The sequence below is a fragment of the Homo sapiens genome, chromosome X, assembly GCF_000001405.40.
Source record: "Homo sapiens chromosome X, GRCh38.p14 Primary Assembly".
NCBI lineage: Eukaryota > Metazoa > Chordata > Mammalia > Primates > Hominidae > Homo > Homo sapiens.
In genome coordinates this window covers 30,226,354-30,239,909 of record NC_000023.11, presented here as the reverse complement: position 1 = coordinate 30,239,909, position 13,556 = coordinate 30,226,354, and the positions used below count along the sequence as shown (strand labels likewise).

Below are 13,556 nucleotides of genomic sequence, written 5' to 3'. Positions count from 1 at the left end.
GCCCACCTCAGAACAAGACCTTCACTTCTCTGTTACTACTGAGGATATGAGGGTGCCTCTTTCTGACATTCATGCCTAAATCTCTCAGAGGTGACAATAGGGAGGATTCTGTGGGATCCCCACTGATAGGGGTTTGGTGGTTCCTGCACTCTTCAGGGTACTCACTTTACTCCTGGCACACATTAGGAATCCTTCCTCTATGGACCTGAGTCAGCCAGCCTCAGATCATGGTCTTTACCTTCTTAAGACCTCCGGAGTAGAAATCAGGTTCAGCCACATCCTGTTAAGGCTATTTGGGTGAGTGCTTCCCTCATTCTTCATTCAGGGTCCTCAACTTGGTATGTGTCAGAGAATGGCACTCCTCCCTCTACTGACCCGAGATGCAGGAACTCACAAGTCCCTGAGAACCTTGAAGAATAAGTGAGGAGATGCTCAGGCTAAGAACTCTGTCTGGCATGTTGTTCTGCTGAGTCCTCCTATATGAAGGTCTTTATCTTGGCTCTTGTCCCTTAGTTAATGACTTCCTGGGAAATGCCGCATCCCTAAAAATTCTTGATCAGTTTCCCTATAATAAATCTTGCAGACAATGCATCCCTGTCCCAGGAGTGATATAAGATAGGGAAGCTGTAACACAAGGCAGAAGCCCGAGGATAGAAGTCATACTGTCAGAGAAAAAAAAAAAAAAAAAAAAAACATTGATCTATTTCTTCTCTTTACTACCCTCTTATGTATTTCTCTTGGAAAAGATTTAACTTCCTATAAAAAGGGGGACAGTCCAGAATGACAGAATGTGACCCCATGATCTTTTGAGTTTATCTGACTTTGCATGTGTAATCTTATTGTCACCAAATATTATCTTTCTCTCCTTAATTCACACCTCTTGACCATTTTGGTAATTTCCTTGCTCTGGTTCTGTATTTCAGTCCAGCAGATTGGGTACAGAATCTTTTCATCACTTGATATACGTTTGGGAGTAGTGAGAAGAAAAGTGAATAAGGGGACACAGTCAGTCTCAGGTTGGGAGGCATGGAACAGAGTGTGCTTTACACTAATTCAGACTGGGGGTCTTGTCCCAGTCCTGTCACTTACCAGCCATGTGAAATTGGACATATTAATAGACTGTGGGCTTCAGGCTTTTTATCTGTGAAGTGGGTTTGATAAGCTCTGTTTTGTAGGACTGGTAAAATGTATACAATGTATGTAAAGTGCTTGAGATGTATTGAGACATATAATAGTGCCAGTTCTTATTATGATTAATTTGTACCCTGACGTTGCAATCTACTACACTGGGACTTATTTTTCAATGCAGGAGATGTCAGAGATTATACCATATTCTAAGACAAAGAAAGCCCTATCAGACAAAGTGCTACCTAGAAAGGAAAACTAAATAATATTTCCTCATTACTTGATAGATCATTCAATATTAGTATGAGGTAGACTTCCTCAGTAGATGCAACACAGATTCTAAAATGAGTTTCAAGGACCAAAAACTTCCCTCTCTCTCAGCTATCCTTCCATCTAAACCACTTTTATTTTGATTCATTTAACCACCTCTCAAAATCTAGACCTTGCCTAGAGTTTGCCAAATCACAAATGAGGTAACCTAATTGAATGCGCTTTTAATGGAACAGGCTCTGGATCCCCCAGCCCAGGGCAAAGAGTACCAGCACAGTGGCTTCTGGGCCTCCCCCGTCCCTTGAGGGTATTACCCTTATTTCTCAGAAACTGGCTGGAGATGATGTGCACAAAACACCTAGTGTGTGCTGTGTTTATTTGTACTGGGACAAGAGCACAGGACACATTCCTACCCCAGATTCTCCCTGATTTATCCATGATCCCAAAGTAACTGTTAAGAACTGTTTCCTATTCCAAGCTTTGTCTCGCACCTCTGAGAGGCAACTTCTTTTTTTTTTTCTTTTGAGACGGAATCCCGCTCTTTAGCCCAGGCCGGACTGCAGTGGCACAATCTCGGCTCACTGCAAGCTCTGCCTCCCAGGTTCACGCCATTCTCCTGCCTCAGCCTCCCGAGTAGCTGGGACTACAGGCGCCCGCCACTGCGTGAGAGGCAACTTCTAAGAGCCTGGCCCCTGCTCGCCATTCCCACAGCCTCATCCAGCCCACCATGGAGCCTCACTTAGATTAACTCCCATTGAGGGACCTGCACTTTCCTTAGGCCCAACACCGCCTTGATTAGATAATTCATACTTGACTGTTCTCATGTGGAACCACCTCCCTCCCTTCTTATCATGTATCCTTTTGGTCTTAGAGTGTATATCACCATTTTCCTTAGATGATAGCTGCTTCTCGACCTTATAATTTTAAGGTCAGTTGCTAGGTCTTCTTTTTCTTAGCCCTCCCAGTATTAGCATGGATCCTTCCAAGAGCAGATGCTCAATTAACACTTGGAGAATGAGTGTGTCAGCATGAGGTCTAATTTATTATGATTTAATTCTACATTCTTAAGTAAGCCAGACATATATGGTTATTTATCTTTCATTTTCTTAAAGCACAGAGTAAAAGCATTTAGGAAACCAAATATTGACCATCTTACACTCTTTCTCTATTTCTTAATGCCATACATTTTACTGCTGACTTTTTTTTTTTAAACATTTTCAAGGAAATGCTTATTCTAATTCCAAGTTATCTTGCAACAGATCACTAAATAAGATCGAATTTTTCTCAATCTGTTTTACAAAACAGCAAAATTTTTACTCTTAAACAACAAATGTGACCAGTATCAATCCTAAACTTAGATTACAATGTTAAATAAAAGGAACATTTGAAAAATATGCCCCAAAATACAGATAAAACTTCAAATTATCCATTTAGAACAGAAACAAAAGGTATTATACAGTGTGTTCCCTCCAGTAACACCCAGTCCTTCACTCCTTGGAACAGTGACTGCCCTCTTTAACCACAAAATGCAAAATTTGCTTCAACTTCACTAGGCGTGGGAAGAGCTGCTAGCCTTGGCCTTGGAACACTTTCTGCCCATGGCACTACTGCCATCATTGAGCATAGCTGCAGCTTGGACTCTTTCTTCCTCATCTCTCAAAGCCTCTTCATACCAGAACTGGAACGCACTGGGGACAGTTTTATTGACCTTGGCCCAAAACTCCAGGACCTTCATCTTGCTGGTTTCAGCATGGGCTCTTGGACCCCACAGGAATTCATAGCGTGCAGGATTACTGTTGGGCACTTGTCGGTACTCCAGGTATTTAAGCTTCACCAAATCTTGGGTGATGAGCTTTCTGGGCTCCCCAAATATGAAGTGTTTCTTCCCATCATATATTCTCATCTTATTCAGGAATTCCCAGATCTTCTCCTCAGTGGCACAGTTGCCCTTCATGAAGATCACGCCCAGGAGATTCAGCAGGAGACCTGTCTTGGGAAATCCCCTCCCACGAGTCACTGTCCCATTGTTGGGGAGATCCATTTTGCTGACAAGGACATAGGAGTCCTTGGTAGAATCAACTTTCTTTAAATCAACACCAAATACCACCTCCATGTTGAAAGAAGCTTTTTTAAGGATCTCAGGGAAGCAATTCTTATGGCTTTTTTGGACAATTTTTAGCATATCTGCTTTCATAATGGGCTTTTTCATCTTGTACATTTCCATCAGGAACTGCACCAACATATTTGTCTTCATGATTAGAGGGTCTGTGCGAGACTGCACAGTGGAGGATAGACCCTGAGAGAAGCTTTGCTTTTTCTCAATTTTGCTGTTGGCTCCCTTGTATGACTTTTTGTAAGAAACATCTACAGATGTAGTGGTGGATAGTGCTCTCTGAGGCTTCTTGAGAGCACTACGTGACCTACCAGCAGACTTTTTCTGGATAGTAGCCCCCAAAATAAGAGGGGATGAAAAGGATACTTTTTTCTTGTTAGTTGCAGTGATCTGAGCACCCTGGTGATCCTGGGTCTGACCCCGGGTCTGCTGGCGTTTCTCACGTGCATGGAGCGTACTCTTCTGACCCCGAGGCATGATGGCTGTAGTCAGGAACAGCAGGCAGGAGTGTCAGCAGAAGGGCAGGTGATACAGGCACCTGGAGGAGAGAGAGAAAGAGAGGGTATGAGTGCCTTCAGCAGAGAGGTACCACTTTGGATTTAAAAGAAGGTCGCCTCTGCAGTTTTCTGTGAGAGCACTGCTCTGGAAACCCAGAGGGCTTCTGTTCTGATCAGTTTGTCCTCTGAGAACCCTGTGAAAGTAATTAAAGTGTGCCTTAGGCCACAGCCTGCCAGCCCTGTTCTGTGTATACTGGGACTGAGAGCAGCCGTGGCATGTCTAGTCCTTGTGGATCTCCTTTTACTCTGGGGTAGGAGGTTTCTCTCAGTTCACACTCAGGACCATCATAAAAACTGTCAGGGCTGGGTCTTCTCCCCTGTGCTGCACTAAATTTGACACCTCCAGCAAATGTCCTCATCTCCTTGGGACCACCTAAGAGGAGGTGAAGGAATGTCTCAGCCTTACCACCCCTGACAGGAGGAACTGGGTGCTAACAGCATTGTGGAGTCCTACTCTTTCCTGGGCTTATTGGAGTCCTGACACCTCATTCATAGTCCTCATCTTGTCTCTAGATAGGACCTAGGACAGCTGCCTCTGCTGCTCTGATGCCCCTCACTTTAGATAAAGGCTCTCAGCAACCTAATGCCATTAAAAGAAGGTGAGTTCACATACACCTGACCTCCATGCCCAGCCTCATCAGCGCTGCAAGTGGGGAGTGGGGGAATCTTTGTTGTCTCTTCTTTATGTGGGAGGAGTTGTATCACTAGTCTTCATTCAGGGTCCTCACTGTGACCCCTGTAAGGCTCTGGGTCTCCTCACTCTTCCCTCTGCAGAACTGGGGCATGTAATTAGTTCAACCTTTCTGGCACTCTCTAGGCAGTAAGGGGGGCTGACGTTATTCCAAGGCTTCCTGGAGCTGAGAGAAGAGGCACAATTTGTGGGACTCTACTTTTTAGAGAGAGTGTTCCCTTTAGTTTTCTCTCAGGTCTCTGACCTTGACTCTTAGTAGGATGTGGGACACTTCCCTCCATTAACCTAAGTCCTCCAGCCTCAGAACAAGACCCTAGACAGGGAAGTCAGGGACCCCTCACCTATGAATACCTTTGCCTGGAGGTTGCAAAATGAGTGCAAGGACATTGTTTGTGTTGACACCTCTATTGCAGAGAGATTGCTTCATTAGCACTCAGGGCCCTCACCTTGACTCCAGTTAGGACCCAAGTCTCTCTTCCACCTGCTGAACTGGGGCTACTTTCTTAGACCAAGGCCCTTCCCTCCCTGAGACTTTCCAGGTAGATATCTGTCAGACAGCTTTCAAGGTATTCCCAGGGAAGACTTCCGGGGCAGGATTTAGTGTGGCCCTCTTTGTTACAGGTTGGGGGATGGTGGTCCCTTTCATGCACATTCAGGGTCCTGACCTTGACTCCAGACAGTCCAAGGAATTCACCCTCTGCCGAAGAGATCCCGTGCCCCTCGCCTCCAGATCCTCCCCTTCAAAGCACTTCCAAGGAAGTGAGGAAGAGCCTTATCTGTTCACAGCTTCCTGGGGTCTGATGGCTGACAACACGGGTGGAACTCTATGAGACTTCACTGTTTTGGAGTTGCTGGTCCCTAGATTCTCATTCAGGGTCTTCACCTTGGTATCTTATCACAGCCTGAAATTTCTCCCTCTACTGACCTGAGTTCGCCAACCTCCAAACAAAACCCTCATCTCCCTGAACACTTCCCTCCCTGGATGGGGAAGTCAGGGCCTCCGCTTATGACTACACTTGTCTGGAGCCTTCTAAACTGGCTAGCAGCAGTGAGACCTTGTCTGAAAAAAAATAAAAATAAATAAAAAAGACAAGGACCACTGGTGCTAACCAGGAGGATGCTAACCAGTAGGGCTGCTGCTGCTTTCTGTTGACGCCCCTACTGGGAACAGATCCCATCCTTTAGCACTCGGAGACTTCACCTTGGCTCCAGTTAGGGTCCAGGTCCCCGCCAACTGAATAACTGGGGCTGCTCCCTTAGTGAAAGACCCTCCCTCTGGGTGCCTTTCCAGACAGAACTCAACCAGGACCTCCCAGGGTCAACCACAAGGGTGAGACGTGTGGGTCCCCTTTTGTAAGGGGCAGGGAGTTGTGAGGGTGAGACACGTCCCGCTCTGGGTCTCCGAGGGCTGACAGCAGGGGGTGACACGCTGGGACCCCACTGTTCTGGAGTCAGTGGTCCCTAGGTCCTTATTCAGGGTTCTCACCTTGTTACTAAGCGGAGCAGAGTAACACCTCTACTGAGCGAAGTCCGCCAACCTCCAAAATCCTCCCCTCCCATAGTCCCTAGAGGGGAAGTCTAGGCATGTTATCGGACCATGTCCTGGGGCTTCAAAGACCTGAAACAGGGTTAGGGCTTTTGGTGGGCCCTTCTTTTGGAGAGAGGTTCCCTGGTTAGCACCGGTGGGCCTCATATTTCTTTCTTTCTTTCTTTCTTTTTTTTTTTTTTTTTTGTGACAGGGGCTCTCTCTGTCTTCCAGGCTGGAGTGTAGCCGCGCAATCTTGACTTACCACAACCTCCACCTCCCAGTCCTCGAACTCCTGTGCTTAAGCGATGAGGCTGGCTTCGTCCTCCCAAAATGTTGGGATTACAAGCGTGAGCCAGAGCCCTGCCTTAAAATTAAAAAAAAAAAAAGTTTATATCTATTTATTTATTTATTTATTTATTTTGAGATGGAGTCTCGCTCTGTCACCCAGGCGGGAGTGCAGTGGCGCGATCTTGGCTCACTGCAACCTCTGCCTCCCGGGTTCAAGGGATTCTCCTGCCTCCACCTCCCGAATAGCTGGGACTACACCTGTGCCCCACCACGCCCGGCTAATTTGAGACAGTGTCTCTCTCTGTCGCCCAGGCTGGAGCGCAGTGGCGTGACCTTGGCTCACTGCAGCCTTGACTCCTAGGGCTTAAGCGATCCTCCCACCTCAGCCTCCTGGGTAGCTGGGACTACAGGGGCAGCTCACCTCCCAGTCCGCGAACTCCTGTGCTTAAGCGATGAGGCTGGCTTCCTCCGCCCAAAATGTTGGGATTACAAGCGTGAGCCACAGCCCTGCCTTAAAATAAAAAATAAAAAAAAGTTTATATTTATTTATTTATTTACTTATTTTGAGATGGAGTCTCTCTCTGTCACCCAGGCGGGAGTGCAGTGGCGCAATCTTGGCTCACTGCAACCTCTGCCTCCCGGGTTCAAGCGATTCTCCTGCCTCCGCCTCCCGAATAGCTGGGACTACACGTGCGCCGCACCACGCCCGGCTAATTTGAGACAGTGTTTCTCTCTGTCACCCAGGCTGGAGCGCAGTGGCGTGACCTTGGCTCACTGCAGCCTTGACCCCTAGGGCTTAAGCGATCCTCCCACCTCAGCCTCCTGGGTAGCTGGGACTACAGGGGTGCTCCACTGCTGCCCCGCCATTTTTTTTTTTTTTTGTAGAGACAGGTTTTCGCCATGTTGTCCCGGCTGGTTTCGAACTCCTGGGGGGGCCCAAACAGTTCACTCGCCTCGGCCTCCCAGTGTGCTGGGATTACAGGCCTGAGACGCCGTACCGGCTTGGTCTTCATCTTGACTCTAGTTAGGGCCAAGAGACCTCTGAAGAACTGAGGCTGCCCTGTTAGAGAAAGCCTTCCCCTCCCTGAGACCCGCCAGGCTGAAATGAGAGGCAAGCCAGTTTTATAGTTCCGCCTAGGGCTTTCCAGGGTTAAAAACATGGATTGTCCCTTCAGTCCCCGCTGAGGGTTCTTACCTTTACTCCGGATCAGTTCTAAGACTCACGCTAGGCCACGAACCTGACTGAAGCTATTGCACCCGTCAGGCCAACTGCCTCACTTTCAAAGCGGAAGTGAGGCTGAGCCACACCCCGCTCGGGGTCTCCGAGGGCTGACAGCAGCGGGTGACACGCTGGGACCCCACTGTTCTGGAGTCAGTGGTCCCTAGGTCCTTATTCAGGGTTCTCACCTTGATACTAAGCGGAGCAGAGTAACACCTCTACTGAGCGAAGTCCGCCAACCTCCAAAATCCTCCCCTCCCATAGTCCCTAGAGGGGAAGTCTAGGCATGTTATCGGACCATGTCCTGGGGCTTCAAAGACCTGAAACAGGGTTAGGGCTTTTGGTGGGCCCTTCTTTTGGAGAGAGGTTCCCTGGTTAGCACCGGTGGGCCTCATATTTCTTTCTTTCTTTCTTTCTTTTTTTTTTTTTTTTTTTTTTTTTTGTGACAGGGGCTCTCTCTGTCTTCCAGGCTGGAGTGTAGCCGCGCAATCTTGACTTACCACAACCTCCACCTCCCAGTCCTCGAACTCCTGTGCTTAAGCGATGAGGCTGGCTTCGTCCTCCCAAAATGTTGGGATTACAAGCGTGAGCCAGAGCCCTGCCTTAAAATTAAAAAAAAAAAGTTTATATTTATTTATTTATTTATTTTGAGATGGAGTCTCGCTCTGTCACCCAGGCGGGAGTGCAGTGGCGCTATCTTGGCTCACTGCAACCTCTGCCTCCCGGGTTCAAGCGATTCTCCTGCCTCCGCCTCCCGAATAGCTGGGACTACACGTGCGCCGCACCACGCCCGGCTAATTTGAGACAGTGTTTCTCTCTGTCACCCAGGCTGGAGCGCAGTGGCGTGACCTTGGCTCACTGCAGCCTTGACCCCTAGGGCTTAAGCGATCCTCCCACCTCAGCCTCCTGGGTAGCTGGGACTACAGGGGTGCTCCACTGCTGCCCCGCCATTTTTTTTTTTTTTGTAGAGACAGGTTTTCGCCATGTTGTCCCGGCTGGTTTCGAACTCCTGGGGGGGCCCAAACAGTTCACTCGCCTCGGCCTCCCAGTGTGCTGGGATTACAGGCCTGAGATGCCGCACCGGCTTGGTCTTCATCTTGACTCTAGTTAGGGCCAAGAGACCTCTGAAGAACTGAGGCTGCCCTGTTAGACAAAGCCTTCCCCTCCCTGAGATCCGCCAGGCTGAAATGAGAGGCAAGCCAGTTTTATAGCTCTGCCTAGGGCTTTCCAGGGTTAAAAATATGGATTGGGCTCCGAGAAGTCCCCTTATTTGTGGGTTTAGTTTTCCCTTTTTTACTCACTCAAGAACCTCACTTCGCTGCTGGCCAGTCCTGGGACTCCACATTCCATGCCATGAATCCTGCTCAGATCAAGGTCCTCCGAGATCTAGGCTGAAGTTTTGATGAGCCACATTAGGCCAGGGATGTTTGGGTCCTGTGAGGGCAGACAGCGGAGTCGGGTTTCTATGGGACATCACTGTTCTGGCTCCTCCTGTTCTTCATTCAAGGTCCTCCCTGATATCTGCCAGACCCTGGATCCTCCCTCTAGTTAACTGAGGTCACCTTAGGTCAAAACTCTCACTTCACTGAGAACTCTGAAGGGTAAAAGAGAGGATGCTCAGTCTGACTGCACTGCCTGGGGCATTCTAGGCTGAGAAGAGGTTTGGGTAGATTGCCCCGTTATCTTTTGGTGTGGTTGTCTTTCCAGTATTTATTTATGGGTGTCCTCCTTATTTTCTCTTGCCTCTCTGAATAAAGGCTTCCTGGGAAATGCCACATCCCTGCAAACTCTTGGGCAGCGTTCCTACTGCAAACCTTGCAAGTCTGTGCCCCAGGGCTAATGTGAGGTAAAGAAATTATAACACAAAGCAGGGAGTCCAAGGTAGCTGGTGGGTTGTCAGAGAAAAATGATGCTGATTTACTCTTTTCAATAGCCAGCACTAGCCTCTTATGTGACTTCTGTTTTAATTGATTTACTTCTTAAGGGGAAGGAGCTGTTCAAGATGATTGTGTGGTCCCTGATTTTGAGGTTATCTGACTGTGCATATGTAGATGATCATATTGTCACTGAATAATATCTCTTTCTCCTCTTTATTTGTAGCTTTCATTTATTTTGATATTCTTTATTGCTTTGGCTATGTATTCCAATCCAATTCTTTGGGCACAGAATCCTTCTTTTTAACCCCTGAGATATATTTGGAAGTATTGAGAAGAAAAGTGAATTAAAGAACACAAAGTCTGCTCCAGGCAGAGAGGAACAGAATGAAGAGTGTGGGCTCTAGAAGAATTCACAACAGGAGTCTAGTCCCAGCCCTGTCACTTACTCACCCTGTGAACTTGAGCATATTACCAAACTCCAAACAAAGAAATTATAATCAAACAAAATGCTGCTTAGCAAGGAAAATTATATAATTTATAAAGTGTTTGTGGAAGAGCCTTCTCCAATTGGATACAACTCAAGTCTCAAAATTTTTGTCAATGACCAATATTTTTTTCTAACTCCTAGGCACCCTTCTATGTTAACCACTCCTGTTTTGATTTTTATTATTTATTTATTTTTTTTTTTTGAGATGGAGTCTCACTCTGTCACCCAGGCTGGAGTGCAGAGGCACTATCTCGGCTCATTGCAACCTGTGCCTCAGGGCTCAAGTGATTCTCGTGCCTCAGCCTCCCTAGTAGCTGGGATTACAGATGTCCACCACCACGCCCAACTAATTTTTGTATTTTTGGTAGAGACGGGGTTTCACCACGTTGGCCAGACTAATCTTGAACTCCTGATCTCAAGAGATCCACCTGCCTCGCCTCCCAAAGTGCTGGGATTACAGGCATGAACCACCATGCCTGGCTGCACCCCTGTTGAAAGTCCTTTTAATAGAGCGGGCTCTTGATTCTCCAACCCAGGACAAAGAGTGCCAGCACGGTGGCTTCTGGGCATCTTACCTCCCCTGAAGCTGTCATCTCCCTTATTTCTCAGAAACTCACTAGAGATGATGTACATAGAACACCTAGGTTGTGCACTGTATTAGACTGTGCTAGGATAGGGACATAGAACACTTTTCACTTTTGTCCTAGGTAGGGGTTCTCTCTGGTTTTCCCACAACAGGAAAGTAAATGTTAGGGATAGTTTCCCATTCCGGGCTTAGTCTCTCAACACTGAAATGCACCAACTGTATAAAGCACCTAGTTTGTGCACTGTGACTATGTTCTGCTGCACTGGGACAAGAGCACAGGGCACATTCCATTCCTGCCCCAGGTGCAGATTCTCTCTGGTTTATCCGTGAGCACAAAATAACTGTTAAGAACTACTTCCCATTCCAGGCTTTGTCTCACACCTCTGAGAGGCACCATCTGAGGGCCTGGCCCCTCCCACAGTCTCATCCAGCCCACCATGTAGTTTCCCTTAAAATTACCTCCCAATGGGGGACTTGAGGTTTCCTAACACTCCAAACTGCCTTGCCTCAGGGCATTTACACTTGATTGCTCTCATCTCAAACCTCCTCTTTTTCTCATTCCTCCTTTGTACTTGTTCTTTAAGTTTTAGAGAGCACCTCATCATCTTTTTTTTTTTTATGACAGCTGCTCCCAGACTCTAAAATTAAATGGGCAAGAAATTGATTTGTTTTGGGGAAAACATTCCCAGTACTAACATGAAGACTTCCAAAGAGCTGATGCTCAATTAATGATTAAGGAATAAACAAGAGAGTGAGTATGAAGTCCAATAAATTAGGATTTAATCTCTCCTACATTCTTTAATAATCTAAGCAAATCCAGATATGTAACTCTTAATTTTATAAGAAGAAAGACTAAAAGGAATTAGGCAAACCAAGAATAGACAAACTTTTTTAAAAAAATTTTTTGATCTCAACAATTTTTAATACAGTATTCAATCACATTTCCAACATAATCAGTACTCAAGAAAATTCACTACTTGTATGACATTTCTCAAAGAAGACATAAAAATGTCCAATAGCTATACAAAGATGTGCTCAACATCACTAACCATCAGGGAAATGCAAATCAAAACCACAGCGAGATATCACCTCACACAAGTTAGGAAGGCTATTATAAAAAAATAAAACAAAAACAACCAAACAAAAACCCACTGGAGATGAATGTTGGCAAGAGTGTAGAGAAAATGGAACGCTTCTACACTATTGGTGGAAATGCAAATTGGTACAGCCATTCTAGAATACAGTATGAGCTTTCTCAAAAAATTGAAAATGGACTACCATATGACCCAGCAATCCCTTGTCTGGGCATAAGGAAACGAAATCATCACCTCCTGTAGATATTTGTGCCCCCATGTTCACTGCAGTATTATTCTCAATGACCAAGATGCGGCAACAACAAAATTGTTTACCAATGGATGAATGGATAAAGGAATTGTGGTATATATGTACAATGAAACAGAAAACCAAATACTGCATGTTCTTTGTGGGAGTTAAACATTGAGTACACATGGACACAAAGAAGGGAACAACAGACACTGGGGCCTACTTAAGGGCGGAAGGTGGGAGTAGGGTGAGGATGGAAAAACTGCCTATTGTGTACTATGCTTATTACCTGGGTGATGAAATAATCTGTACGCCAGACCCCCATGACATGCAATTGCCTATATAACAACCTGCACATGTACCCCTGAAACTAAGATAAAATTTAAAAAAATGTTATTTAGCCTTGAAAAAGAAAGAGATTCTGCCATTGCAACAACACAGATGAACTTGGGGGACGTTATGCTGAATGAAATAAACCAGACACAGAAAGAAAAATGCTGCATGCTATTAATATCCCTTATATGTAAAATCGAAAAAGAAAAAAATGTTAAATACATAGAAAAAGAGAATAAAACAGTAGTTACCAGAGGCAGGGTGGGGAGGGGATGCAGAGATGCATGTCAAACAGTACAAAGTTGCAGTTTTATAAGACGAATAAATCTAGAGATCTAAAGTACAGTATGAGGACTACAGTTAGTAATATTGTATTGCATACTGCAAATTTTCTAAGAGTAGATTTTAGCTGCTCTTACCACAAAACAAGGTAACTATATGATATAATGGATATATTAAATTGCTTACCTGTAGTAAGCATTTCACCATGTACTGTAATGCATTGCTTAACAATGAAGATACTTTCTGAGAAACGCGTTGTTAGGCAATTTCATTGTTGTGCAAATATAATAGAGTATACTTACATAAACCTAGGTGGTATATAGCCTACTACACACGTAGGCTATTTGGTGTAGCCTATTGCTCCTAGGCCACAAACCTGTGCAGCATGTGACTGCACTGAAAACTATAGGCAAATGTAACACGGTGCTAAGTATTTGTGTACCTAAACACAGAAAAGGTACAGTAAAAAATATGGTACAAAAGATTGTTAAAAATCATACACCTGTGTGGAGTATTTACCATTAATGTAGCTTGCAGAACTGGAAGTTGCTTTGGGTGAGCCAGTGATTGAATAGTGAGTGAATGTGAGGGCCTGGGACATTACTGTACACTATTATAGACTTAATAAACATTGTACAGTTAGACTACACTAAATTCTCAAGCATAGTTTTCTTTCTTTAACAATAAATTAACCTTAGCTTACTGTAACTTTTTTTGCTTTATAAACTTCTTAATTTTTTTTAGCTTTTTGACTCTTTTGTAGTAACACTTAGCTTAAAACATAAGCACATTGTACAGCTGTACAAAAATATTTTCTTTCTTTATATTCTTATTTTATAAGCTTTTTTCTATTTTTACTTTTTAAATTTTTAAACGT

At 45.3% G+C, this 13,556-nt stretch overlaps 1 protein-coding gene across 3 annotated transcripts, besides 1 other annotated feature; it reads right to left on the bottom strand.

The window, feature by feature from the left end:
- MAGEB3 (MAGE family member B3) lies at positions 2,415-9,253 on the bottom strand. Of its 3 annotated transcripts, NM_002365.5 has the most exons (5): positions 9,093-9,253; positions 8,292-8,393; positions 6,994-7,083; positions 6,547-6,648; positions 2,415-4,046 (listed from the first exon to the last, which is right to left on the bottom strand). In NM_002365.5, exon 5 carries the CDS (start codon positions 3,983-3,985, stop codon positions 2,945-2,947), a length of 1,041 nt encoding a protein of 346 aa, NP_002356.2. In that variant the 5' UTR covers positions 3,986-4,046; positions 6,547-6,648; positions 6,994-7,083; positions 8,292-8,393; positions 9,093-9,253; the 3' UTR covers positions 2,415-2,944. The 3 variants fall into 3 exon arrangements, with proteins under 3 accessions (NP_002356.2, XP_011543815.1, NP_001373794.1); XM_011545513.3 differs by lacking the exons at positions 8,292-8,393; positions 9,093-9,253 and adding an exon at positions 7,768-7,843; NM_001386865.1 differs by lacking the exons at positions 6,547-6,648; positions 6,994-7,083.
- Positions 10,926-11,535: an enhancer, noted in NCBI's record as "NANOG hESC enhancer chrX:30246492-30247101 (GRCh37/hg19 assembly coordinates)". NCBI's record gives its function as "activates a minimal SCP1, AML or CMV promoter by ChIP-STARR-seq in primed H9 embryonic stem cells {active_cell/tissue: H9 hESC(primed)}" and the evidence as "EXISTENCE:reporter gene assay evidence [ECO:0000049][PMID:30033119]".

Excerpts from the sequence above, each read along its gene's own strand:
- MAGEB3 (NM_002365.5), bottom strand. The coding sequence starts at position 3,985 with ATGCCTCGGGGTCAGAAGAGTACGCTCCATGCACGTGAGAAACGCCAG.